Genomic DNA, 27051 nt, shown 5'->3' with positions numbered 1-27051 from the left:
ACAGGAGGGAAACCTGCTTACAGAAGGAAATGTGAACTAGTGTTTGCCAAAACTTGCTATTTTTAGATACATAGCTTCTCACACAATTCTTGTAATAACCTTGAAAATTAGCTACAATTGTGTCTATTTCACAAAAATAAACCTGAAACAGAAAGATAACACAACTTGCCGCAAATCGCATTACTAGGATTTGTTGTCACCAGAGTTGAAGTCTAGGCTGAATAGCACTGTGTCATCAATGAGCATCTCTCTAGTCTATAAGATACCATGTTCCCCTTGAGGTTTAGATGGCAATGAAGAGACACGCAGAACGAGGATACACATCCTCCCCACACCTGGCGTTCTCTCTTCTGGGGTTTAGCAGTCATAGCCAGGACTAGCAAATTTCCTTGCAGGTTCACCAGACCCTTACAACAGCCCACAGTGTCCTACAGCATCTATGTGAACGACCTCTCTGACCTCACTTCCTCTGGCTCAGTCTCTTTGCTGTTCTTCAAACACAACAAACACTTTCTCATCTTAGGACAGCCCTGAGTTGCTACCTCTGGCTGTAACACTCTTTCTCAGGCACTTCGACGGCAGTTGTCTGACTCTTTGAAGTCTTCGTTTGAGAAAATTAATACCTTCTCAATAAGATCTACTTTGATCAGACTATTTAAAGCTGTATTTCTCCTCAGTCATAATATTTAATTTTTAACTTTTAAGTTCAGGGGTACATGTGCATGATGTGCAGCTTTGTTACATAGGTATATGCGTGTCGTGGGCTATATTGTACAGATTACTTCATTGCCCAGGTACTAAGCCTAGTACCCAATAGTTTTTTTCTGATCCTGTCCCTCCTCTCACCCTTCACCCTTAAGTAGGCACCAGTGTCTGTTGTTCCCCTTTTTGTCTTCATGTGTTCTTGTCATTTACCCCCACTTATAAGTGATAACATGCAGTATTTGTTTTTGTTTGTTTGTTTTTTGTTTTTGTTCTTGTGTCAGTTTGTTAAGGATAATGGCCTCCAGCTCCATTCATGTCCCTGCAAAGGACATAATCTCATTCTTTTTTGTGGCTGCATAATATTCCATGGTGTTTCTTTACCACATTTCCTTTATCCAGTCTATCATTGATGGGCATTTAGGTTGATTCCATGTCTTTGCTATTGTGAACAGTGCTGCAATGAACATACATGTGCATGTGCCTTTATAACAGAACAATTTCTATTCCTTTGGGTATATACCCAGGAATGGGATTACTGGGCCAAATAGTATTTCTGTCTTTAGGTCTTTGAGGAAGTGCCATGTTGTCTTCCACAATGCTTGAACTAATTTACACTCCCACCAACAGTGTATAAGTGTTCCTTTTTTTCCACAACCTTACCAGCATCTGTTATTTTTTGACCTTCTAATAATAGCTATTCTGACTGGTGTGAAATGCTATCTCATTGTGGTTTTGGTTTGCATTTCTCTAATGATCAGTGATGTTGAGCTTTTTTTCCATATGCTCTTTGGTCACATAAATGTCTTCTTTTGAGAAGTGCCTGTTCATGTCCTTTACCCATCTTTTAATGGCATTGTTTTTTTCTTATAAATTTGTTTAATTTCTTATAGATGCTGGATGTTAGACCTTTGTCAGATGCATAGTTTGCAAATATTTTCTCCAATTCTGTAGGTTGTCTGTTCACTCTGATGATAGTTTCTTTCGCTGTGTAGAAGTTTGTTAGCTTAATTAGATCCCATTTGTCAATTTTTGCTTCTGTTGGTTTTGGCGTCTTCATCATGAAATCTTTGCCAGTTCCTATGTCCAGAATGGTATTGCCTACATTGTCTTCCAGGATTTTTATAGTTTTAGGTTTTACACTTAAGTCTTTAATCCATCGTGAATTAATTTTTGCATGTGGTGTAAGGAAGTGATCCAGTTTCAATTTTCTGCATATGGCTAGACAGTTATCCCAGAACCATTTATTGAATAAGGAATCCTTTCCCCATTGCTTGTTTTTGTCAAAGACCAGACAGTTGTAGGTGTGCAGTCTTATTTCTGGGTTCTCTATTCTGTTCCATTGATATTTATTAAGCGTATTTCAATGATATTTGGATGCCCTGTTCACTGTCCACCTAGAACAGTGCCTGGCATACAGCAAGCAACTAAAATATATGTGTTCAATGAATGAATGGATTCAGCCTATAGGCAACACCACAAGTGACAGGGATATATTGCGATTTCAAAGAATTTTCCCCTTTGTCTCAAGCTAAAACATAACAGCTGTTACCATTTAAACTCTCTGCCACTGGTTCCAAAGACCAAAAGAACACTCTCTAAAAGAAAAAGATCTCTAAGGACAAATCATTTTATAACACTGTAATCTGAGAGTTTAATTTCCACTTGTCACCTTGCCTGCTATGTCTCTGGTCCTTCACCCACTACTCCAGAATTGCCTTGGGGCATAAATGCTCATTATTTCCAAGTGTACCTCCCTCTGACTTCTTTCCTGCTAGGCACAGTGCCCCAGGCTTCATGCCCTGACTCTGACACCAACTCTGGATCTGTAGATTCACTTTGTACTTGATCTACTGAGTTCCTGATTCCTGGCTCTTCCTAATAGACTTCAGCTTGGGCAACCCCCTGGCCTGGCTCTTCCCTTTACCTTTTGTGAGCTCCGACCCTTTGGCTGGTGGTCTGGCTGGGGCAAAGCCACACTCTTTCTGCATCCAACCTACACACTCCCACCTCCACCAAAGGGTAGGAACTTCGGCAGCCTCTGTGGTTAAATTATAGAGGAGGACGTGGTTTCATAGGAATAAACTTTTGCCAGGTGCTAATTTTTAAGAGTCCTATTTCTGTCCTTTATTATTTGAGCTAAGATGGCAAACATTTTAAATAATTTTTTCCTATATTGCCTTTCTTGAAGTCAAGAATCTAAACCATCTAATGGCTGGATAAACACTCTGAAAGGGAAAAAGAGAATAAGTAAGTCTGATTTCTAACGTTTATTAAAACTCTTCAGGTGCTCCCAGTCTGATTTATTGTGTTCTCGTCTTATTTACTTCAGGGTCTTGGACAAATTCTTACATAAATTTTTTGCTAAACACATCTGGATTTTTTTGTGTATTGTTTTTGGTGAAATTTGTTTCTTTAGTAGTCTTCAGCAAAAATCCTAAGAACTATCCTGGTATAGACATTTGTGCATACAGACACTACAATTCATTCTCAGCAGATGGTCAGGGACTGCTCTTTAGCAGGCTGTCTTCTCCCTCCCCTGCTTCCAAAATTAGGGTGTCTGGAGAATGCGAAACAAAATTATACAAAGGCCTGACCTCTGGCCTTGCTTCTGTCTCTCAGACTGTGAAGTACCCAAGAGGGAAAGTGTTGAATTTGGCCTCACTTCACATGGCATTAACTGTAATTCTTTGTGAATTGTGGTGACATCATGGTATACTTTGACATCACTGCTCAGACTCCCTTCTGCTGCTGGGCATACAGTACACAGTTTTTGTTTAAACACAAGAGTCCTTTGTTGAGAAGACAGGATAGCAGCTGGTATTCTGCCCTGGTACAAATGTGGATCTTACTGGAATGTGTCTGTTCAGTAAGTCACCACAAAGTAGCTATTCTACTATGATGGCTGGAACTCACACGTGTACCTCCGAAAATTTTTCTGGAAATTTATATTTAAAGAGTTTTAAATTCCAGATATGGTCCATAATTTAAACAAAATTCTACACACAATTAAACTCTTGTTTACATGTCTGGATATGTTATCTGAAGTCAATATTCCAACAGCAATAGTGTGCTGGCTGCATTTGTGTGTCAACGTTAGAGAGGATGGAAAAGGAAAGGTGAAGAGGGATTTATCTATGTCCCCAAACAATTCTCCTCCCATCACAATTGTTTATGCATCTCAGATTTCCAAGTTAGCAGGGCTTGTGTCATTCTTTGGCTCTTACCTGGTTACCTCTCAAAACTTATTACTTTATATTAATTTGAAACTTCTTTGACAGTGCTATCGATATCCTGCTTTCAAAGTCTGTTAAAGACATCCTCAACTGATAATATTAACAAATATAACCCTTTTTCCTTCCTGGTTCTCTACTGCCATTTCTATCTGTCTAAATTGGGTCTCTTTAGGGTAGAGCCTGGAGAGAATTGATCAAAAGCAGAGTTTAAGCAAAAGCATCATCTGTAAAGTAACTCTAAAATTCTGTCTCTCAAAAGTATCTCAAATGCATGGACAAGGCAGCGAATTTTCAGATCAGCTTGAGAAACTAAAGGTTGTTAATGTAAGATTCTTTCCCAGCGGAAAAAGCCATAGCACAAAATATTTGGATGAAATAGTAAATTTCTTCTGCTAAGAAAATATAATTTTTACTCTGTCACAGAACAAATAGAGCCATGACATGACCCCCAGTTCTACCATAAACTTTACAATTGCTAAAGGTATATTTACCCCTCTGGAAATGTCACACTTAAGACCAGCGAGACCATAGTGCTGCATCTCAGTTTTTGATCCACATGTTCACTTCCCTGGCCACTTCTTACCCTGGAACATCATTATTTATACCAAGAATCTATGTGATGTGGAACCCTAAACCACAAAAGAGGCAGCATGACATTGTGGTGCAACCAACAACTCAACCTGGATGTGATGGCTTGAATATATCACTCTCAGTACGAGTTCAGTTCTCTTGTGAGTTATATAATCCAACCTATTTTATATACTTGTTCTAAGGATTTGAGGTGATAGCTTATATAAAAAGATCCAGTTCATTGCCTAGCACATAACAACTCTGACCACTATCCTGGAATTTCTGAGACAACTCTATTTTCAAATCTTCTATTTCATAGTCTCCAGAATTATCAGACCCTGTGTGTTGATTATTTTAGGGGGGGGATATGTAGTCACTGTGCAAATAGCAGGTATTTTCTCATTATATATGTGAAATGCATCTGAAGCTATAAAGGGTGCCTTAGGGATCTGGGAACCTGTAGACTCCAAGTCCCACAGCTCTGGAGACAGGGTCAAGTTTGCAAAAGCTCAGATCTATTTCAGCCCCTTTGGATTTGACAACAGCATATAGGAAGTAAGATCACAACTCAAATTCCATTGAAGGAATATACTCTCCTTGAGAGGTCAGAGCAGATGGAGTTCCATTGGATAATTTTTTTTTTTTAACTTCCCTCTACCCTGCTAAAGTAGCCAATGGAATACCAGCAAGCATGGTTGGCTCTTTGGGAAATGACCTCTGGTAGGGTTCTGTTAGAAATGAAAAATACTTTTCTGAAATTGCTGTGGAGTAGCAAATCATCTCCTCTGCATTCTACTCAAATTAAAGAGAAATGTTTAGAATTCTGAAAACATCCTTCCTTAGCTCTCCAACTCCAGGACTACTGATTTTTCAGAGTTAATTCAGGAACCACTTTCAAATATATACAATCGAGTAACTATCATTAAATTTATCTGTCAGCACAAAATAGAGATTTCTCATAGTCATTCTTCTAAAACCTAAGGTGCTGGGAAAGACATATTTTCAGGGACTGGGACAAGTTTTCTCCTTTTTTCTCCTTTGGAGTTCCTGCCCATATGAATGTATCAATATGCCAGTTGAATGTAATGAAAGAAAGTGGGCATTCAGCAACCCATCTTAGTATAAGGGATATTCAAAATTTATTTATTTTAATGGAGAAGAATCCCTGAATCTAAATGAATAAGCCAAAAGCAAATCAGTTACGATCTTTTTAAAAGGAAAAGTAGTCTTCTGGAAGTTGGGAATTTAAATTCTTATTAATCAGAATTAACAATGAACCAATCAAACAGGAGTCACAAAATCCTAAGAGAAAAGTGAGCTGGCTGATTTTTAATGATCCCCAAATTTCCAGAGCCAGATGAAAGGTGAGCTGCTGGATATAGTGATGGGACTGAGTTGGAAGTAGCTGGAGGTAGCAATTTGGCTACTCTTTCTAACTCTAGCCTTGTGGGTTCAGGATAATCAGTTACATTTTGCTGAATCACTGCACTATTATGACAATGGAAAAATGAGCTGTTTCTCCTTTCATTTTAGACAAAAGCAAATTCACTCAAAGGCGCTGAGATGAAAAGAAAGGACTGCATACATTTTCCCATTCAGAAAGATTAAGATTCCACTAACCCCCCACTCACATGCATAGAAATGAATTCTTTTTCTTTCCTGCTATAGTCTAGTTTAAATCCAGCTGAAACTATAAATTCCAAATCTGACAGAATTCAACACACAGCATATATCTAATTAGAGAGTGAAATTAAATCGTGTAGTAACTGGAATATTTAAGTTCAGAAATTTTTTAAACACTACAGTTTTATAATAGTTATTGGTGTTTAGTCAGTTGTCCCAAACTAGTTAAAAAGAATTACCTTAACACAGGAAGTGTATATGCTATCTTCAAATCCCCTTAAAAGTACCCAAATTACCTGCTTCTGTACCCTAACCTTACTGCTTCATGGTGGACCATGGGAAAAGAAGAAAAGGCATTTCCAATTTTTATGGTTCACACCACAATCAAATTTGGCTATATTGCATCACGTTGCATTTCTTCTGCATGTATTATGTATAAAAAAGCATGTAATTTGCAATAAGTGGTTTATGTCCGACAATGATAGACTAGATTAAGAAAATGTGGCACAAATACACCATGGAATACTATGTAGTCATAAAAAATGATGAGTTCATGTCCTTTGTAGGGACATGGATGAAGCTGGAAACCAACATTCTCGGCAAACTATCGCAATGACAAAAAACCGAACACCGCATGTTCTCACTCATAGGTGGGAACTGAACAATGAGAACACAGGGACACAGGAAGGGGAACATCGCACTCTGGGGACTGTTGTGGGGTGGGGGTAGGGGGGAGGGATAGCATTAGGAAATATACCTAATGCTAAATGATGAGTTAATGGGTGCAGCACACCAACATGGCACGTGTATACATAGGTAACAAACCTGCATGTTGTGCACATGTACCCTAAAACTTAAAGCATAATAATAATAATAATAATAAAAGAAATTATGAAAATGCTGCATGGAATCATCACCAAAGATTATAGTTTCAAATGTATTGCATAATACAGCGTCAATTAAAAAAATTTTGAGTCATTTGAAAAAAAATATGCAATGCGTTCTTTTCAATATATCTATGTGAATCTAAATTGAAAAGTCCCCATATTCTACAAAGTGGGTCTATCAAATGCCATATTCGATAGAAAAACATATTTGACCACGAATTTTATGGTTTTCAACAGTTGTTTCAAGTGAATTCTTGGCAGAGTGTTGACCTAGACTTCGGGCTGTTTTTCAACATTAAAATTTTACAATCGAAAGTTGAACTATATTCTGTAGGTGCAGGCATGTTCCAGTGAATCACAGGCTGGGATACATATCAAAGGGGAGATGAACACATTTCTTACTAGAAGAATTTTTATGAACATGCTCCCCACAACATTTAGGCATTGAGTTGTCAGATGATTTCCAACCTCAATTTCAAAATTCTTTTTAATGAGTGTGTTAAGAGCAAGGCTTACATGGATTGCTCATTGTTGGCTGGTTTGTCTTTTTCCCTAAGATAACAGCAGTTGTTTGTCTCAGTGAGATCTGGTCTTCACAGCTGGAAGCCACAAAACCTTTTGTCTTAGGGCAAGTGAATGGAGGTTGTATCTCAGTTGGCAGGAAGGGAGAAAATAAATACTGTGAGCCACAATTATTCTGAAGAGTGGGAAATTACATTAGGAAATTATAGACTGCAGCAGCGGATGGTTCTCACTTACCAAACTTGAGGCCGAGAAGAGGCAATAAATAAGAAAACTGGGGGGGAAGGAATTGTGGTGTTTATGAAGTACGGTGTGTGGATCAAGTCCTGTCAGGTGTTTTACAGAGTTCGTGAAGCCTGTAAAACAAACTCTGCAACTGAACAGGTGACAAAACCAAAGCAACTGCCTATATCACCTATCTAGAAAATGACAGAATTGGGATTTAGTCTCTTTAAAAAATGTCATTCCTATTACACTAGGTCACCTAATATACCAGGGGACTTTCAAGCAAACAGTGTGTATCCTCAAGAGGTCAGGCAGCACCACATGTACTAATCAGCTACTCATGCGAGCGCTCTGTTTAGAGAAATGGTTTTTGAGGGAATGTTTAGAGCATTTTGTTTAAAAACCTAGCCCACTACATCTCAATCATATTTCCTAAGTTTATTTCTCAGCACCAAGCTAAAGGCACTCAAAAAACAAAGATATTCCCAAAGGGCAGTTTCTCAGGAAACAAAAACTTTCAAAAAGATTCCAAGGCTTTTCCTAATAATATGAAAACAACCCCCTTGAAAATTTATTTTCAATGCTTGCCTATAGCTTGGCTTCAGCATTGACTCGGTTATTACCTTAAACAGAGGAAAAACATCTCCAGTAGCAGTTGGCATGACTGAGGAGAGGGGAGGAGGGAGAGGGAGCAAATGGAAACAAACTGAACTCAGCCCAAACAGCTCGCATCTGGGCGGCCTAACCCTGCAGAGACCTTCTCGCCAAGCCCTGCCAAAAGCCAGCAATCATGACCCCAATGTGAACTTTTGGTTTGTACCACGCAGTGTCAGAAAGGGGTAGAAAGCCCAGAATGACACACTATCAATTCCAGAGCATGCTGACTTGAACACACAGTTCACACAAGTAGCACCTACCTCTGCTTCCACCACCCAGCCTGGGTCAAGCGTGACGCAAGGAGAGTGTGTTCCAATATCAAAGCACCTTTATACTCAGCTTTGACCCCTTTCAGTCAAAGGTAAAATAAAAACATTTAGAAAGCATGTGAATGGAATATTTGTACACTTGTTTCTATTTGTGAACCTCAAAAAATTACACAAAATCAGGAAAATTGGCAGCTTTAGCACCAAAAGTGTTCAAGATTATAGTACCGGGGTGATGCAGTTACAAAATGAGGGATATAGGAAGAGTTACGTGGGAAACTCATCTGAGGCCTGATGCTGTCTCTGGGCCTACACCAAAAGCAGGCTGTCTTTTCTGTTCTTCTTTCCCAAGGTGGAGTGCAGAACCCATTGCTGAGTACAAACATGCTCTTGCCTTAAAATGTGTAGACTGTCAAGATTGCATGCCTGAAGCAAGTGTTTTTCTGATAGTTCCACCAGTGATAACTTCTTTTGCAATTGGGATTAGAACTGTTTTCAACATAACCGCTTTTTCATCTACAATGCCAGCGCTTGGTCCTAATTGGATATTAGGGAAAAAAGGCTCATTTTGTAAGCAGTCATTTAAATTGCAGATGTGGATTCAGCCTGCCAAACATGTACTGGCGATCATAAATCAACAACTGCATAGATAAACAGGTTGCCACTCTCTGAAATACCCCATTGGTATGCAAAGAGGCACAGTTACACTTTTATTTTTTTCCTGCAGAGAGGCATCTCACTATTTTCATGGTTATTTTCTGAGCTTGGGAGCAGAAGAGGGAAAAAAGGTAGGGAAGAATACAAGTGAGAGGAGTTCCATGGCCGAACATTTGTAAATCTCCTGGAGAAGCTGAAGTAATTTTAGTATCATGATCTCCACTACAGTGAGCATGTCTTTTAATCAACACTCTTTATGGGAATGGTATTGTCCTAGCTGTTAAAGGGTAAAAGACTCAAAAGTTGCAGCAGCTATGCTCTAGAGGGCTTCATAAACTAAGAGTAGGCATGAGTAGGAGGCAGAACTGGTGGGAATGTAAAATGGTGCAGCCCTGCAGAAAACAGTATGGCTGTTCCTAAAAAAATTAAACATGCAATTACCACGTGATTCTGTAATGCTACTTTTGCGCCTATCTACCTACAAGAATTGCAGACAAGGACTTGAACATACACTTGTGTGCCTATGTTCACAGCAGCATAATTCACAATAGCCAAAAGGGGGAAACAACCCAAGTGTCCATAGATGCCAAATGGATAAAATGTTATATATTCATACAACAAAATATTATTCAGCTCTAAAAAGGAATGTAATTATGACTTGCTATGACATAGAAGAACCTTGAAGACCTTAGGTTAAGTAAAATAAACCAGACAAAAAAAGGACAAATATTATATGATTTCATTATACTAGGCACCCCAAATAGTCAAATTCATAGAGAAAGAAAATAGATGGTGATTACTGGGGGTTAGGAAGAGGGGAAAATGGGGAGCATAGAAAGTGAAAGTTTCCTCTTCAAAGTTTTCCTTCTTGTTAAAGAGTAAACCATAAGTGTTAGAAATAATAGTTTCTTTTAAAGACTAACTTTCCTCAAGCCTCCTTGCTTTGTGCTAATAACTCTTTGTTAAGCCCTACCCTATGTAATTGTTGGACATGCTCACAGGCACGTTCCAGCTTGCAGCCTATGCCCCTTCCTTATTTGGAAATGTTATTGCCTCCTTAAACCTTTTGTAAGCAAATTCTTTGTTCTTCCTTGCACTTACCTATTTAGGAAAGTTTTAGGCTGTTAGCAAATTGGGTGTCAGTTTCAGAATATGAGGTCCAGCTCCAGCCAATGGATGCAGGACACAGCAGTAAGGACAACCCAAATGCATAGGGATAAATATGCCTGCTTTTCCTTTGTTCAGGTGTGCTCTCGCCATTGTTCCATCTGCGACTGAGCACCCTTTCTGCAGAAAGTAAAGATTGCCTTGCTGAGAGATCTTTTGTCTCTGTACTGTCTTTTCTTTGTGGCACCAATTATCTATTTCTAACAATTTTGGTATTTCTAACAGGGAGTTATTGGTTAATAGGCATAGAGTGTCAGTTTGGGAAGATGAAAAAGTCCTGGAGATGGCACAACAACGTGAATGTATTTAATGTCCCTGAAGTATATACTTAAAAGGGTTCAAATGGTAAAATCTATGTTACATTTTACTATAATAAAAAAAGAATAGGAGGCAGAAAAGCAACAGACACAGAAGCAACTAATACAAGGAATACATAGAGCTGTGTCATTATAGAAACAAATAAAAGTAAACATCTGCTATGTGGGTTGGTTGTTGAGGAGGTATGGAATGATGCCTCTGCCCTAAATACCAGCTGGTCCTATGGCCTCTTTCTAACAAGATGTGGACAAAACTCCATGTGTTTGCACTCACTGTTCTTCTACTGAGCAAGACATATATGGACCCAACAATACTGCATAGTACAGTATAGCACAGTATAGCATAGCATAGCATAGCATAGCATAGCATAGCATAGCATAGCATAGCATAGCATAGCATAGCATAGCATAGCATATAGCTTTGGAGACAGATGGATCTAAATCTGAATCTAAGTTCTGCTATTTATTAGCTGCATAACTTTTTCCAAGTCACCTCATCTTTCTAGGCCTTGGTTTCTTCACCTGTAAAATGGTACCAATCATACCTCCAAGAGTTGTTGTTATAAGGATTCAACAAAGGAATAGAAAGCTCTCAGAGTTTAATCATGGAACACCTACCATTACTATTAATGATTACAACAACAAACCCAGCCATAGGGGTTGAAGAAGAACAAAAGTAAGTGGATGTTAGTTGGTGTTTTAAAATATTATTTTCTGATGTTCTTCAAAAGTCAGAAACTTAGCTCTCATTTTACGTAAAAATATTTACCTCATTTTTTACCTCTTAGAAGTTGCCTATTGATCTAAGGAAGAAAAATGGGAGTATTTAGAAAGTAAGTATCAAAAATTCAGAGAAAACTCACCCACACAAACACACAGTCCCTTCAGTGGGCATTCCAGTGTTGCCAGTTCTCATTGTCCGACCTACTTAACTTCATGTGTCAGATACCTTTCTACAGGGAAGAAAAAGTCTCCATAGACTAGATATCATAGATTACCTACAGAAATGTATTCCTTTATCAGTATGGACAACTGAGAAGTGACTGTGTCTGACAGATTTGTTTGAGAGGGAGAATAAAAGGAACTTGTACTAGATTTGGGGTACAGATGGGGCTGATTTCTCAACAACCTGGGAAGGGTTGATGGAGGAGGTGAGATGTGAGCTCTGAATTAAAGAATGGCAGCAATACCCTGGAACAATAAAGGCAGGCTGCCAAGTCCCCCCAAAATCAGAACCAGATTAGAAGCCCAGTCTGGGGCTTGAATCCAGGTGGGTCCTGATTCCAGTGCTGGTACTGTGCAAGACACATTCCTCTACGCTGCAAACCAGAAACATTTCTTATAGCCCCACAAAATCTTGCTGGAATCCATTAAGAAATTGTTTGAACCCTGGTGAACTTTTGGCTAAAGAAGAGAGGAGGCTCATGTTTGCAGCAGAAGTTTCGTTTTGTCCTAGTGCAAAAAGATTTTAGTATGAACCAAGACAGAAGTTTTCCATGGCTTGTCTATCATTATCAACTTCTGAGCACTCCCAGCCTAACAAATACATCCACCAAAGCATAAAAGATGCAATTCATTGTAAAGGCAGCAGAAGAATGACTCAAGATATGACTACCTTCTCATAGGCAGTAGGCAGTAGTGAAATCACATCCATTCACTAACTAGGAAGACATTTCTTATGCAGAAGCCTGTACTGCATTGCCCTGCTTACAATTGCTAACAATCACGAAGATGGTAAAACTTTAATGAGATTTACAAAACTATTGCCTTAATAAATTCTTTCCTGTTATAGGAAAAGATATGAGATATTTCTCAGACTGAATCTCTAACCAATAAAAATGTCATTTTTAAAAGTTCTAAGAACCTTCTGTCAAATTATTTTACTATACATCAGAAGCTATGTACTTCAATATACACTATATATATAATATCTATGGAAATGTATAGATATGCTACATTACATCTATATATAATGTATATTATAATGTATAATGTAATATATAAATGTGTATATATGTGCTACATTATACTATACATTATTTATGATGTATGATATATGCTACACATATTTAATAAAATCACCTTTCATATAGACCAAATCCCTAATTTAGAAATAAATATACAAAAATAATTACAGACCTGGCACTATGCCCATGGTCACTTATAGCATCCCTAGGAAATCCTCACTGGCCATGACTGTGTTAGTCACTCCATCCCCTGGCCATGGCTAATTAATTCAGTAATAGAGACACTTAGACTAGGCCAGACTCTCTTCCCTGGGAATTTGAAAATTGGCTGGAGACAGAAAGAGTCAGAATATGATTAGAGCTAAGTTATTTTTTGCCAGATCTGTGCACACCTGTAGCTGAGGACCTCAAAGTTGCCCTGGCACTTGTGCTTCTTGAGGCCTGGCCTTTGAGCTTTCTGTTTGGTTCTAGTTGCCCAATACTTATTTTGCTAAATACATAGTTGATGTTCTTGTCATTAATCTTTATCCTTTCAATGATTCATCCTTTTGATCTTAGGTTGAGCAGACTAAATTTCTATTGCTTGTAACCAAAAGAATCCTAAAATAGAGTATATGTATTTCACCAGGAAGGGCACTTATTGTCCTATTCTGGAGCTGAGTATACAGAAGGAAACTCTATTAGGAAATGTATTCCCAGAGTTTTCAAAAGGAGATAGAGAAAACTGAGAGAGTTAGTTTAAGGTTTTGAGAAATCAGAAAGAAAAGAAACACAAGTGAAGGAGAATAATGCTGAAGGAAACCAATAGGAAATTGACAATACTCTGGATTTGAAAAGCAGTAGGCTTTAAAGATGATGTGGGGGTTGGAATCAACAGGAAGAAAGAAAAATAACGTAAATGAGATGTATAGTTCCAAGAATAAGAAATTTATTCTTTTTCTTTTGAAACAACCATAGGTACAGGCTAAGAGTTTATATTTTTGTTTCTTTAGATTTTAAAAATTTGAGTAGTTGCTCTTTACCTCAAATGTTCTTTTTAAAGCCTTTAATGTGGCATCAAATTGATTTAGTAGAAAAAGTTTCCAAAGAGTTCCTTTTACTCAGGAGAATGGCTGTATGCCTTAGCACCCAGAGCTGATCCTGAGCTAGATGAGATGAAAGCAGAAGGAGCCCCACCAGTGATAATCAGAACTTCTCTTTTCTACTGTTTCTCATAGAAACCCAAAAACCAGTGGCAAGTAGGGACCCCAATTCTTGGTATCCAGTCATAGATTCTCAGGGGCTTAAAATTCAGGGAGGGTTGTCTAGGAGGGAAGTATAATTCTATGAATCAGTACAGTAAAATAAAAAGCACAGGCTATAGGGTCAGACAGATCTGAGTTCAAATCCTAATTCAGTCACTCACAAGTTACATGACCTTGGGCAAGAAAACTAGACTTTTTGGGCAGTAGATGGGGTTCTCTGAGGTTTAAATAGCATGTTAAGTACTTGGGAGTGTCTGGCATGGTTAGAGCTTAATATATGAGGATCGTTTTTCTATTCTTATCATTACCATCATGATAACAATAGTTCTTTCTCCTTCCCCTTAGAAATACCTAGCCTATATAGCCTTTGGGGAAGCATCAGAGAAGCAGATAGCTACAGGTCCAGGCTGTGCAGTGAGTGAAAGAGGCCCCAAAGAGTATGCAGCATCTCAAGGCAGCAGTGTCATTTCAGCTCTATCAGATGTTTGCTGTATTGGAGTACAGACCAAATGCTGCAGATCCGAATTTTTTTTTTTTTTTTTTTTTTTTTGTATTTTTAGTAGAGACGAGGTTTCACCATGTTAGCCAGGATGATCTCGATTTCCTGACCTTCTGATCTGCCCGCCTCGGCCTCCCAAAGTGCTGGGATTACAGGCGTGAGCCACCGCGCCCAGCCAGATCTGATTTTTAAAGGATTAAAAATCTGTTTTGAATCCAGATTTTTACTGGAAATATTACAGTTATAAATAAATTATATAAATATAATTTAATTATATTCAAATACTGGCAACTAATTCAAATTTTTACAGAAGCCCATGATGGGTGCAGAACAGAAGTTATCCATAGGCTGCATCTGGCTGGAGCATTGCTAGTTTGCAACTTCTGCTTTAGAGCCACGAAACTCAGGGAGAAAACTAAAAAATGATACTTTGAATTATAGGGAGAAACTTGGAGACTACTACTGGGAAAATGGGAGGCTAAACCCAAATAGCCTTGACAAAACCATTCTTCCTACCCACTGCCTAAGAGAGCATGTTTTAAGTGAGCATAAAAATATTTCTCCAGATTAAAAAATAGAAACCCATGCATGAGGAGAATCAGTGCTCCTCTAAACTGACAAGATGATCCTACCTCCTCCTAAGCACCCACCCCTTCAATAATTGAGGCCCATGCCTGTCCCAAGGCACACCTTCAGAAAGGAAAAGACAGGTGCCAGGAGAGCTGGACTTGCTTCACCACTAAGTGTGCCTTTGCCTCTTTAACAAGCCAAATTGTATTTTTACCCAAGCAAAGCAAATCCTTGTTACCCTATTCAAAAAACAAATCCTTTCATCCCTAACTTGTGTCAAATAAAAAAGCCAAGAGTGGAAACTGCTGAACGGACATTATATCATGTGGCTCAATAAAAGACTATTGCATGGATGGGTGCATCAACAAATTAATAAATCTTTCTGTCAATCAACCCTAATACTGAGATTTCTGCCTCAGAAGTTGACAGTCACCCTCAGGAGTAGGGAGGAGACAGAAATCCTCCCCCACCATGAGAACCTGTGGGGCAGAGAGGACAGTATGAAGTATAGTCAAAAACTTGGGAAAACAAAACACTGGGTATATTCTTTCATTTGAGTGTGACTTTGGCTGCTTCTTCTCAAGCTTTCCTCCCCAGCCCACCCCGTCCCTTTCTCTGAAATATCTGTTACTTAAATCACTTGTAACGCTGATGGCAAAGAAACTAAACTGGTACTCAAGTGCATTTATAAACCCATGCTCACACAGCACTAGTCAGCCACCAGCTCTTGGCCACCCTGAGATCACTATGGTGTGCAGGTGCAGTGGGTTTGCACTCGGCATTTCTACAGGAGTGGAAATGATGAGCATTATGTTTTTGGAATGTTGCATTGTTGGTGAAGTTTCCCACTTGATTTTTTTTTTAAATAATACAACTACTTTTAAGTAAATGGAATGTTCCTGTGATCATCTGGCCACAAGGGAGGGAAATTTAGCACAGGGACTGAAGTGCACTTAGTAATGGTGAAAGGGACAAACAAAAATGAATAATCCAAATAAAAAGAGACGAACAAAAATGAATAAATAATCCAAATAAAGTACTTTAAATTTTTTGTTTAAAGGTTCTTAAAAACACACATAAAAAGCATTCTCACTTCATTCAGATTAAAGAGCAGTGGACTTGGAGCCAGAAGACCCAGGTTTGAGTGTTTCTGGCTTTGCCACTTGCTAGTTGAGAGACTTCGGGTAAGTCACATCCTGCCCTGATGCTGGTCATATTTTATGTTTCATATAAAATAAAATAAAACAAAATAAGGAGATTCAGCTGATAATTTCTCCACGGTCCCTTTCAAAGGTACTGATTTGCGATTAGCTTTGTAGAGAGGTTCAAAATATCCCCAGGGTCTCTGAATTTGTCTTGGCCTTGTTGTTCTATTAACCACACAGATCATTGCTTGCCATTCTCCCTAGATTTTTCAGAATCTTAAGTGTTCTCTTGGATCACAAGCAGTCAGTCCACATCAAAAACACTTTGTTCCTTCTTGATTTGGGCTCCTCAGGGCAGTCTAACCAAAGAGGCAATAGAGATGACAGGTGGGGTTTATTATACTAATTTTAGGGCCTGGGTGGATTTTCCTGACTCTGGAAAGCAGCCCTTATTAGGATTGTTCCAAGGGAGTCTTTGGCAACCATGAATGTGCTAAAACTTGGGTACAATTATGTTCAAAGGCTCAAAATCTGGAAGGTACTTGATGCTTTAAATTTTTTTCATTAAGGATCTTTACAATTAAAGTAGCTACAACATTAAAAAAAATCATCCCTTTCCTCACTTGATATTTCCTTGGAAGTATGCCAGTTAGCCCATGTATAATTACTAATTGTCTTTCACATTTGAATTTGATTTTTAACATTTTTTAAACAATTACATGAAGTGTCATAAGACACCCAGTCTCAAAAAGGCTTCCTGAATTCTACTTTGCCTATTTTTAATTTGACTTAAATAAACAAAAAGCCAAGGACAAGGTTTCAAATCTTTCAAATTTTTAATATACTTTTAAACCTTGTACTTCAAGTTTTGGAAAGACTAGTATTTTAGGGTCAACAACTTGATAAGCATATTAATAATAGAGAGAGTTGAAATAATTAGAAATATGACTGAAGATTATCCAATTTAATCCTAAGCCATGGTAAATAAGGAGTAGATGGCAGCAGATCCCAAATTACAAATTACTCCTAGCCTAGAATACAGCAAAATTTAGCTCACATCAACAGGCTCTGTTTCACAGCCTGAAGGAAATGAGAGCAAGGCACAAATATATTAAAAGATAAAAAAGACATTTAAGATGAATAATTTATGTGTTTTAGGGAGGGCTTGGTCATCAAGAGACAAAAATAGCCAACAGAGAGATTTATTGACTCGTTGCTCCATCCATGCTGTGGCAGTCATATTGAGCAACATAATATAAAGAAACTAAAGATGAGTAATATGTGGTCTCTCCTAGTAAGAAGTTCTCAATCTAATTGGCTATATGGTCATGAAATTTAATATAAGACAAAAGAAAGAAGAAGGAAACAGGTGCTAAGAGAAGAAAATGAATATTAATTCCCCTAGGAGTTTTGCTGAAGGACTTACATGAGTTCCTGAGAAAGAAAGTGACCCTAGAGCTGGACCTTAGAGCCTTGTCTACGTCTTCAAAACTGAATTACAGTGTTTCACTTCTTCTGTATGTTCCCATTGCATCCTGTACTCATAGTTGCATTTCTGGTATTTTAGCATAATGTCTAGCATTAGTAGATGCTCAATAAAAATCTGTTGAATGAATAAATCAACAATACAAAATCTCTCATAACCTCATTTTCCTCCTCTATAAAATTGTAACAATATCACCTCACATAGGTTCACACAAGGATTAAAGGTGGTAACATATGTGAAATGTTCACATAGCACAGTGCCTGGCATATGCTTACATAGCACGGTGTCTTACAGGTGTGGTGGTGCGCACCTGTAATCCCAGCTACTCAGGAGGCTGAGGCACCATGTCAGTGCTCAGTGCCCAATAAATAAATAAATATTGGCTTTCATTAAAATTAGATATTGTTACCTCTGTTTGTACAGATGAAAAAATTGAAGCTAAAAGAACCTAGTAAATTAGTCCATGATCACACAGATAGTAAGATCAGAAGCTGGACTTCAAATTTGTATCTGATTGGATACAAAATTAAAGCCCACACCACGTACTGCTGATTATAGTTATTTTTGTTTGAATCTCATCACTACACAATTATAAGCTTCTTAAAGACATGATGGTATAACACTTACGTTCATGTCCCCATTGAACCTAATTCAGACCCACACGGCAGAACTTTTTTAAAAATTGATTGAACCCACTTAGGCTTCAGATATCTTAAATGTAAATGGAAATATTAAACTACAAAATTTCAAATTCCCTTTCAGTTTCAAAACTGTCTTCTGTGGGGATGATGTCACCAAGATAGCAGAATAGGAGGTAACCTGCTCATATTCCCCCACAACAACAATTCTGCACCTATCCACAGTAAAAAGTCTCTCTGTTTGAGCCTTGGAATTCAGATAGGAGTCTGTGAAAGCCTAGCAGAGCCCATGACCTAGGAGGGTCATTTTGAGAGTGCAGACCAATACCCAGCTGACAGATCTGCTCTGCCAAACTTGCTTCTGGGTTCAAGCCCAGAAACAGCCCAGTCCCTGAAGGGGCTTGGCTACAGCCGCATTTGGCCTTAAGCCTACAACCAAAATCATCTGCCAAGGGGTCCAGAAAGAACTGTGTACACTACTGCCTTGGTAGAAAGGCTCATCAGCTTGCTGACATTGGCCTTGGCAGTGGACCCGAAATTTGCCCTGGGGCACTATTCCAGCCTTCCTCAGCTAAGATCCCAGCTTAGAGGGAGACTTGTCCATACGTCAAGCCTGGCAGTCTGAGCCTCCCTGACAGGCTCATCTACTTCTGTCCCAAAGCAGATTCCAAGAAGTCCAGTCTCAGCCCTGGCCCTTTCACTGCAGTAGGAGAACCATCCTACCTGTGCAGGAACTTACTTTTCTGAGCTAAGACCAGGCTCTCCAGCCTCTATCCCATAGCAGATCTCAAGGGGGCCCAGTCTCAGCTCCAGCCTCTCCTGCTGCAGTTGAGGAACTCTCCCGTCTGTGCAGGGACCTGCTGGGTGATGCATGTCCATCTGATCCAATAAGACAGACCACCAGCCTCCTTCTCACAGAAGATCCCCAAATGCTCAATCTCAACTCCAGCCCCTTTCACTGCAGTAAGGGACCCATCCTACCTGGGCAGAGGCCTACAGGCAAGGATCCCTCTCTTGGGCCAAAAGGATAGTCTTCTGCACTCAGTTCCTTGGCCAGCATTCCCACATAGCCCTATTACTCTCCTTGGATCTTCCCCAGATCCATCTGGGACAGATGGCCACATCAACTTCTGAGCATTTGTGAGACTTGTGGGCAAGATAGGGCTTGGAACATCCTCTAGTGCTGAGACATCTTCACCTGTGAATGACTCAGGGAACACCATAGTCAGTCAGCTTAGAATCCCTGGAAGGCCCTCTGAAGAAGGACAAGCACAAAGAAAACCACCCTTTGAAGAATAAAATAATTACCTAATTCCTCAATGCACAGACATTGTTGCTCTTTCACAAGCACCAAGAACATTCAGGAAAATATGGCTGCACCAAACAGACAAGACGCCAGAGATCAACCCTAAAGGGATGGAGAGGTGTGACCTCTCAGACAAATAACTCAAAATAGCTGTTTTAAGGATGATCAGTGAAATTCAAGAGACAGAGAGTTCATTCAAAAATTTATCAGAGAAATTAAATAGAGAAATTAAAATAATTTTTAAAAATCAACCTTGGAGCTGAAACATATAATGAATAAAGTGAAAAATGTAAGAGAGAGCATAAACAGCTGGATTAATCAAACAGAAGAAACAATCAGTGCACTTGAAGACAGACTCTTTGAAAATATACAGTCAGAAAAGAAAGAATGAAAAGGAATGAACAAAGTTTATGGGATCTACAGGACATCAAAAAGCAAATATTTGAGTTACTGGTGTTAAAGAGGGAACTGAGAAAGAAAGGTGTAGAGACAATATTCAAAAAAGTAGTAACAGAAAAATGTCCAAATCTGAAGACAGTTATAAGTATCCAGATACAGGAAAGTCAAAAGTCACCAATCAGATATAATTAAATTCACAAAGGTAAAAGAAAAGAATCCTGAAAGCAGAAAGAGAAAAGAAGTAAATAACTTATAAAGGAGATCAAATACAACTGGAAGGAGACTTCTTAGAAACCCTACAGGCCAGGAAGGAGTGGGAAAATACGCTCAGAACGCTGAAGGAAAAAAAAATGTCAACAAAAAGATTGTACCCTGTAAAAATATCCTTCAGAAATGAAAGAGAACTAAAGACTTTTCCAGACTAAAAATAAACCAAAAGGACAACCCTCAAAACTCAAAACAACAAAAAAACAAAAAACACAGAGGGAATTTATCATTACCAAACAAAACCATCTACAAGAAATGGTAAAAAGAAAATCTACAAAGAAACACTGGACTTAATCTGTACTAAAGACAAAATGGATCTAATAGATATTTATAGAACATTTCATTCAGTGGCTGCAGAATACACATAATTTCCTTAGCACATGGATCATTCTCAAGGACAGCCCATATGTTAGGTAACAAAACAAATCTCATAACATTAAAAAAAAACCTGAAATAATATTAAGCATCTTCTCTGAACACAATGGAATAAAACTAGAAATTAATAACAAGAGGAATTTTGGAAACTATACAAACACATGGAAATTAAACAATATGCTCCTGAATGACCAGTGGGTGAATGAATACATTAAGAAGAAAATTGAAAAACCTCTTGAAACAAATTATAGATAATGAAAACATGACATAACAAAATATATGGGATACAGTATAAGCAGTACTAAGAGGGAAGTTTATACCTATAAGCACCTACATCAAAAAAGAGGAAAAATTTCAAATAAACAATTTAACAGTACATCTTAAAGAACTAGAAAAATAAGAGCAAACCAAACACAAATTAGTAGATGTAAAAAAATAAAGATCAGAGCAGAAATAAATGAAATTGAAATGAGGAAAACAATATAAAAGATCAAGGAAACAAAAATAGTTTCTTAGAGAAGACAAATAAAATTGAATGGGGAAAAACTGAAAGCTTTCCTTTAATATATGAAACACAACAAGGATGTCCACTTCCAACATGTTATTTAACATACTACTGGAAGTCCTAGCTAGAGAAATCAAACTGCTGCAAGAAATAAAGGGTTTCCAAATTGGAAAGAAAGAAGTCAAATTATCCTTGTTTGCAGATTATATAATCTTATATTTGGAAAAACCTAAAGACCCACAAGAAAACTATTAGAACTGTTAAACAAATTCAGCAAAGTTGCCAGATACAAAATTAATGTATAAAAATCAGCAGCATTTCTATATGCCAAAAATGAACAATCTGAAAAAGATATCAAGAAAGTAATCTCATTTACAATAGCTACAAATAAAATAAAATACCTAGGTATTAACCAGAGAAGTGAAATATCTCTATGATGAAAACTGTAAAACACTGATGAAAGAAACTGAACAGTACACCAAAAAATGAAAAAAGATTCCATGTTCATGGATTGGAAGAATCAATATTGTTAAAATGTCTATACTATTCAAAACAATCTACAGATTCATTGCAATCTCTGTCAAAATACCAAAGACATTCTTCACAGAAATAGAAAAAACAATCCTAAGATGTACATGGAACCACAAAAGACCCAGAATAGCCAAAGCTATCCTGAGCAAAAAGAACAAAACTGAGGAATCACATTATCTGACTTCAAATTTTACTACAGAGATATAGTAACGAAAATAGCATGGTACTGAGAAGTTTTGCAAAGGAGTCAAGGAGGCTTGAAGATGAGGAGCATAATGGTCGGCCATCGAAAGTTGACAACAACCAACTGAGAGCAATCATCGAAGCTGATCCTCTTACAACTACATGAGAAGTTGCAAAATAACTCAATGGCAACCAATCTGTGGACATTCAGCATTTGAAGCAAATTGGAAAGATGATAAAGCTTGATAAGTGGGTACCTCATGAGCTGATCAGAAAAAATATCATAATTTTGAAATGTCATCTTCTCTTATTCTGTGCGACAACAAGGAACCATTTCTTGATTGGATTGTGATGTGTGATGAAAAATGGATTTTATATGACAAGCAATGAAGAACAGCTCAGTGGTTTGACCAAGAGATGATCCAAAGCACTCCCCAAAACCAAACTTGCACCAAAAAAAAAGGTCATGCTCACTGTCTGGTGTTTTGCTGCCAATCTGATCCACTACAGCTTTCTGAATCCTGGTGAAACCATTATCTCAAAGAAGTATGCTTAGCAAATCAATGAGATGCACTGAAAACTGCAACACCTGCAGCCGGCATTGGTTAACAGAAAGGGCCCAATTTTTCTTCATGACAATGCCTGACTGCATATTGCACAACCAACACTTCAAAAGTCAATGAATTGGGCTATAAGTTTTGCCTCATCTGCCATACTCACCTGAACTCTTGCCAACTGCTTACCACTTCTTCAAGCATCTCGATAACTTTTTGCAGGGAAAATGCCTCCACAACCAGCAGGATGCAGAAAATGCTTTCCAAGAGTTAGTCAAATCCTGAAGCATGAATTTTTATGCTACAGGAATAAACAAACTTATTTCTCATTGGCCAAAATGTACTGATTGTAATGGCTCCTATTCTGGTTAATAAAGATGTGTTTGAGCCTAGTTACAGTGATTTAAAATTTATGGTCCAAAACCACAATAACTTTTGCACCAACCTAATATTAGAGAAAAATCACTTAGGCACAAAGAAAGACAGTAAAAAAGGAAGAGAGAGGTTACAAAATCACAAGAAAACAACTAACCAAATGGCAATAAGAAGTCCTTACTTATCGATAATAACATTAAATGTAAATGGGCTAAATTCTTCAATTAAAAGATAAAGAGTGGCTGAATGGAATAAATAATAAGGCCCAACTATACGCTGTAAACAAGAAGCTCACTTCACCTATAAGGGCACACAAACTGAAAGTGAAGGGATGGGAAAAGATACTCCATGCAAATAGAAACCAAAAAAGAGCAGAAGTAGCTCAACTTACATCATATAAAAGAGACTTTAAGTCAAAAACTGTAAAAAGAGACAAAGGTCATTATATAATGATAAAAGAGTTAATTCAGCAAGAGGATGTAACAATAGTAAATATATATGCACCCAACACTAGCACATCCAAATATATAAAGCAAATTTTAACAGATCTAAAAGGAGAGATAGATGGCAATACAAAAATAGTAGGGCACCCCACTTTTAGCAATGGACAGATCATCCAGACAGAAATTTAACAAAAAAGCATCAGGGTTAAACTATATTCTAGACCAAATGGTGTAACAGACATTTACAGAATATTTCATCCAACTGCTACAGAATACATACTTTTCCTATCAACACATGGAACATTTTCCAGAATAAGCCATATATTAGGACACACAACAAATCTTAAAAAATTCAAAATTATTCAAATTATATCAAGTATCTTTTTTGACCACAATGAAATAAAACTAGAAATCAATAACTTTCAAAACTATACAAATATAGACGAACTTTGGAAACTATACAAATACATGGAAATTAAATATGCTCCTGAATGCTTACTGAGTCAATACATAAAGAAGGAATTTTTAAAAATTCTTGAGAAACATGAAAACGGAAGTACAATGTACCAAAAACTATGGGATACAGGAAGAGTGATACTAAGATGGACATTTATAGCAATAAATGCTTATATCAAAACAATATAAATAATCTAAATAAACAACCTAATGATGCATCTCAAGGAATTAGAAAAAAAAGAACAAACTAAACCCTAAATTAGTAGCAGAAAATAAATACTGAAGATGTGAGCAGAAATAAATGAAATTGAGACTAAAAACTAATACAAAAGGTCAACAAAACGAAAAGTTGAGTTTTTGAAAAGATAAACAACATCAACAAACCATTAGTTAGGCTAACAAAGAAAAAAATAGAGAAGACTCAAATAATTAAAATCAGAGATGAAAAAGGAAACATTACAGGTGACACCATAGAAATATAAGTGATCATTAGACTATTATAAACAATTATATACCAATAAATTGGAAAACCTAGAAATGGATAAACTCCTTGACACATTCAACATATCAGGAGAAAACAGAAAACTGAACAGATCAATGATGAATAAAGAGATCAAACAAGTAATAAATGGTCTTCCATCAAAGTCACACCCAGGACCCAATGACTTCACTGCTGAATTCTACCAAACATTTAAAAAAACAATCAAAGAGGAGAGAAAACTTTCAAACTTATCCAATGAGGCCAACATTACCCTAATACCAAAACCAGACAAAGACATAACCAAAAAGAAAACTACAGGCCAAGCTCCTTCATGAACGTATGTGGAAAAATACTCCACAAAATACTAGCAAACAGAATTCAACAATACATTAAAAAGACCATTCACCATGATTAAGAGGGAATAATTCCAGGGATGCAAGGATGATCAACATTTACAAATTAATAATGATACAGTACATGAACAAAATCAAGAATGAAAATGATATGATCATTTCAATAGACGCTGAAAAGACATTTCATAAAATTCAACATCTGTAGATGACAAAAACCCTCAACAAATTGGGTATAGAAGGAAATTACCTCTACATGACAAAGGTCATAAATGACAAGCACACAGCTAACATACTGAACAGAAAAAACTGAAAGCCTTTCCACTAAAACCTGAAATGAGACAAGGATGCTCAGTTTCATCACTTTTATTAAACAGTACTGGAAATCTTAGCCAGAGCAATTAGTCAAAAGAAAAAAATTAAGGGCATCTAAATTGTAAAGGAAGAAGTCAAATTATCCTTGTTTGCAGATGACATAATCTTATAGTTAGAAAAACCCCAGAATTTTCCCCCAAAACTCTTATAACTTGTGAACAAATTTAATAAAATCACAGGATGCAAAATCAACATACAAAAATCCATAGTGTTTTTATATATTAACAGTGATCAATTTGAAAAATAAATCAAGAAAGCAATCCCATTTAAAATAGCTACTAAAGAAAAAATACCTTAGAATAAATTTAACCAAAGAAGTGAGAGATCTGTATAAGTAAAACTAAAACATTGATGACAGAAATTGAAGAGGCCACCAAAAAAATGGAAAGCTATTCCATGTTGATGGATTAGAAGAATTAATATTGTTAACAAGACCAGGTGTGGCAACTCATGCCTGTAATCCCAGCACTTTGGGAGGCCAAGGTGGGCAGATCACCTGAGGTCAGGAGTTCGAGGCCAGCCTGGCCAACATGGCAAAACCCCATCTCTACTAAAAATACAAAAATTAGCCAGTCATGGTAGTGGACACCTGTAATCCCAGATACTAAGGGGTGGAGGTTGCAGTGATCCAAGATTGCACCACTACACTACAGCCTGGGTGACAGAGTGAGACTCTGTCTCAAAAAAAAAATGTGTATATATATGTATATATATATATATATATGTATATGTATATATATGGCACAAAGCTATAGTAACCCCAACAGCATGGTACTGGCATAAAAACAGACAGATACACCAATGGAACAGAATAGAGAACCCAGAAATAAATCCATGCACCAACAGCCAACCCATTTTCAACAAAGATCCCAAGAATATGCACTGGGGAAGGAATAGTCTCTTCAATAAGTGGTTCTGGGAAAACTGGATATCAATATGCAGAAGAATAAAATTAGAGCCCCATTTTTTAGTAAATATAAAATTAACCCAATATTGATTAAAGACTTAAATGTAAGACTTGAAATTGTAAAATTACTAGAAGAAAAGATTAGGGAAATGCTCCACAACAAGGATCTGGGCAAAGATTTTTTGGATAAGATCTCAAAAGCACAGAAAACAAAAGCAAAAACAGACACATAGATTACATTAAGCTAAAAACTTCTGCACAGCAAAGAAAACAAAAAGGGAAAAGCCAACTTACAGAACGGGAGAAAAGATTTGCAAACTATCCATCTGGCAAGGAGTTAATAACCAGAGTATATAAGGAGCTCAACTCAAGAGCAAAGAAAAAAAATTTCTGATAAAAAATGGACAAAAGACCTGAATAGATATTTGTTGAAGGAAGACACACAAAGAGCTGACAGGCATGTAAAAAAATGCTCAACATTACAAATCATCAGGGAAATGCGAATCAAAACCACAATAATGTATCATTTCGCCTCAGAGTGGCTATTATTAAAAGGACAAAAATAGCAAATGCTGGTGAGGATGCAAAGTAAGAGAAACACTTGCACACTGTTGGTGGGAATGTGAAGTAGTACACTCATTATAGAAAACAGTATGGAGGATCCTCAAAAAACTAAAACTAGAACTACTATATGATCCAGCAACCTCACTACTGGTTATATATCCAAATGAAAGGAAATCACTACATCAAAGAGATACCTGCATTCCCATGTTTATTCCAGCACTATTCACAAGTCAAGATATATAATCAACCTAAGTGTTCATCAATTAATAAATGGTTATGACACATGGTATATATACACAATGGAATATTATTCAGTCATAAAAAATGAAATCCTGTCATTTGCAGCAATATGGATGGAACTGGAGGTCATTAAGTGAAATAAACCAGGCACAGAAAGACAAATATTGCATGTTCTCACTCATATGTGGGAGCTAAAAAGTGGATCTGTTTGAGATAGAAAGCAGTATGGTATTTACCAGAGGCTGGTAAGGGAAGCAGGAGGGGAACAATAAAGAGAAGTTGGTTACTGAGTATACAAACACAGATAGAAGGAATAAGTTCTGGTATTTGACAGTACAGTGGGGAAAATTATAGTGACAATA

General features: G+C 37.4%; 1 protein-coding gene across 16 annotated transcripts in view, besides 1 other annotated feature; it reads right to left on the bottom strand.

The window, feature by feature from the left end:
* Window positions 1-27051, bottom strand: part of ADAMTSL1 (ADAMTS like 1) — a 1004318-nt gene that overhangs the window by 296364 nt on the left and 680903 nt on the right. The window lies entirely within an intron of this gene.
* Window positions 7298-7907: an enhancer, noted in NCBI's record as "NANOG hESC enhancer chr9:18606678-18607287 (GRCh37/hg19 assembly coordinates)". NCBI's record gives its function as "activates a minimal SCP1, AML or CMV promoter by ChIP-STARR-seq in naive H9 embryonic stem cells {active_cell/tissue: H9 hESC(naive)}" and the evidence as "EXISTENCE:reporter gene assay evidence [ECO:0000049][PMID:30033119]".

The sequence above is a fragment of the Homo sapiens genome, chromosome 9 (assembly GCF_000001405.40).
Source record: "Homo sapiens chromosome 9, GRCh38.p14 Primary Assembly".
Taxonomy (NCBI): Eukaryota; Metazoa; Chordata; class Mammalia; order Primates; family Hominidae; genus Homo; species Homo sapiens.
This window is presented reverse-complemented; position numbering and strand designations above follow the sequence as displayed.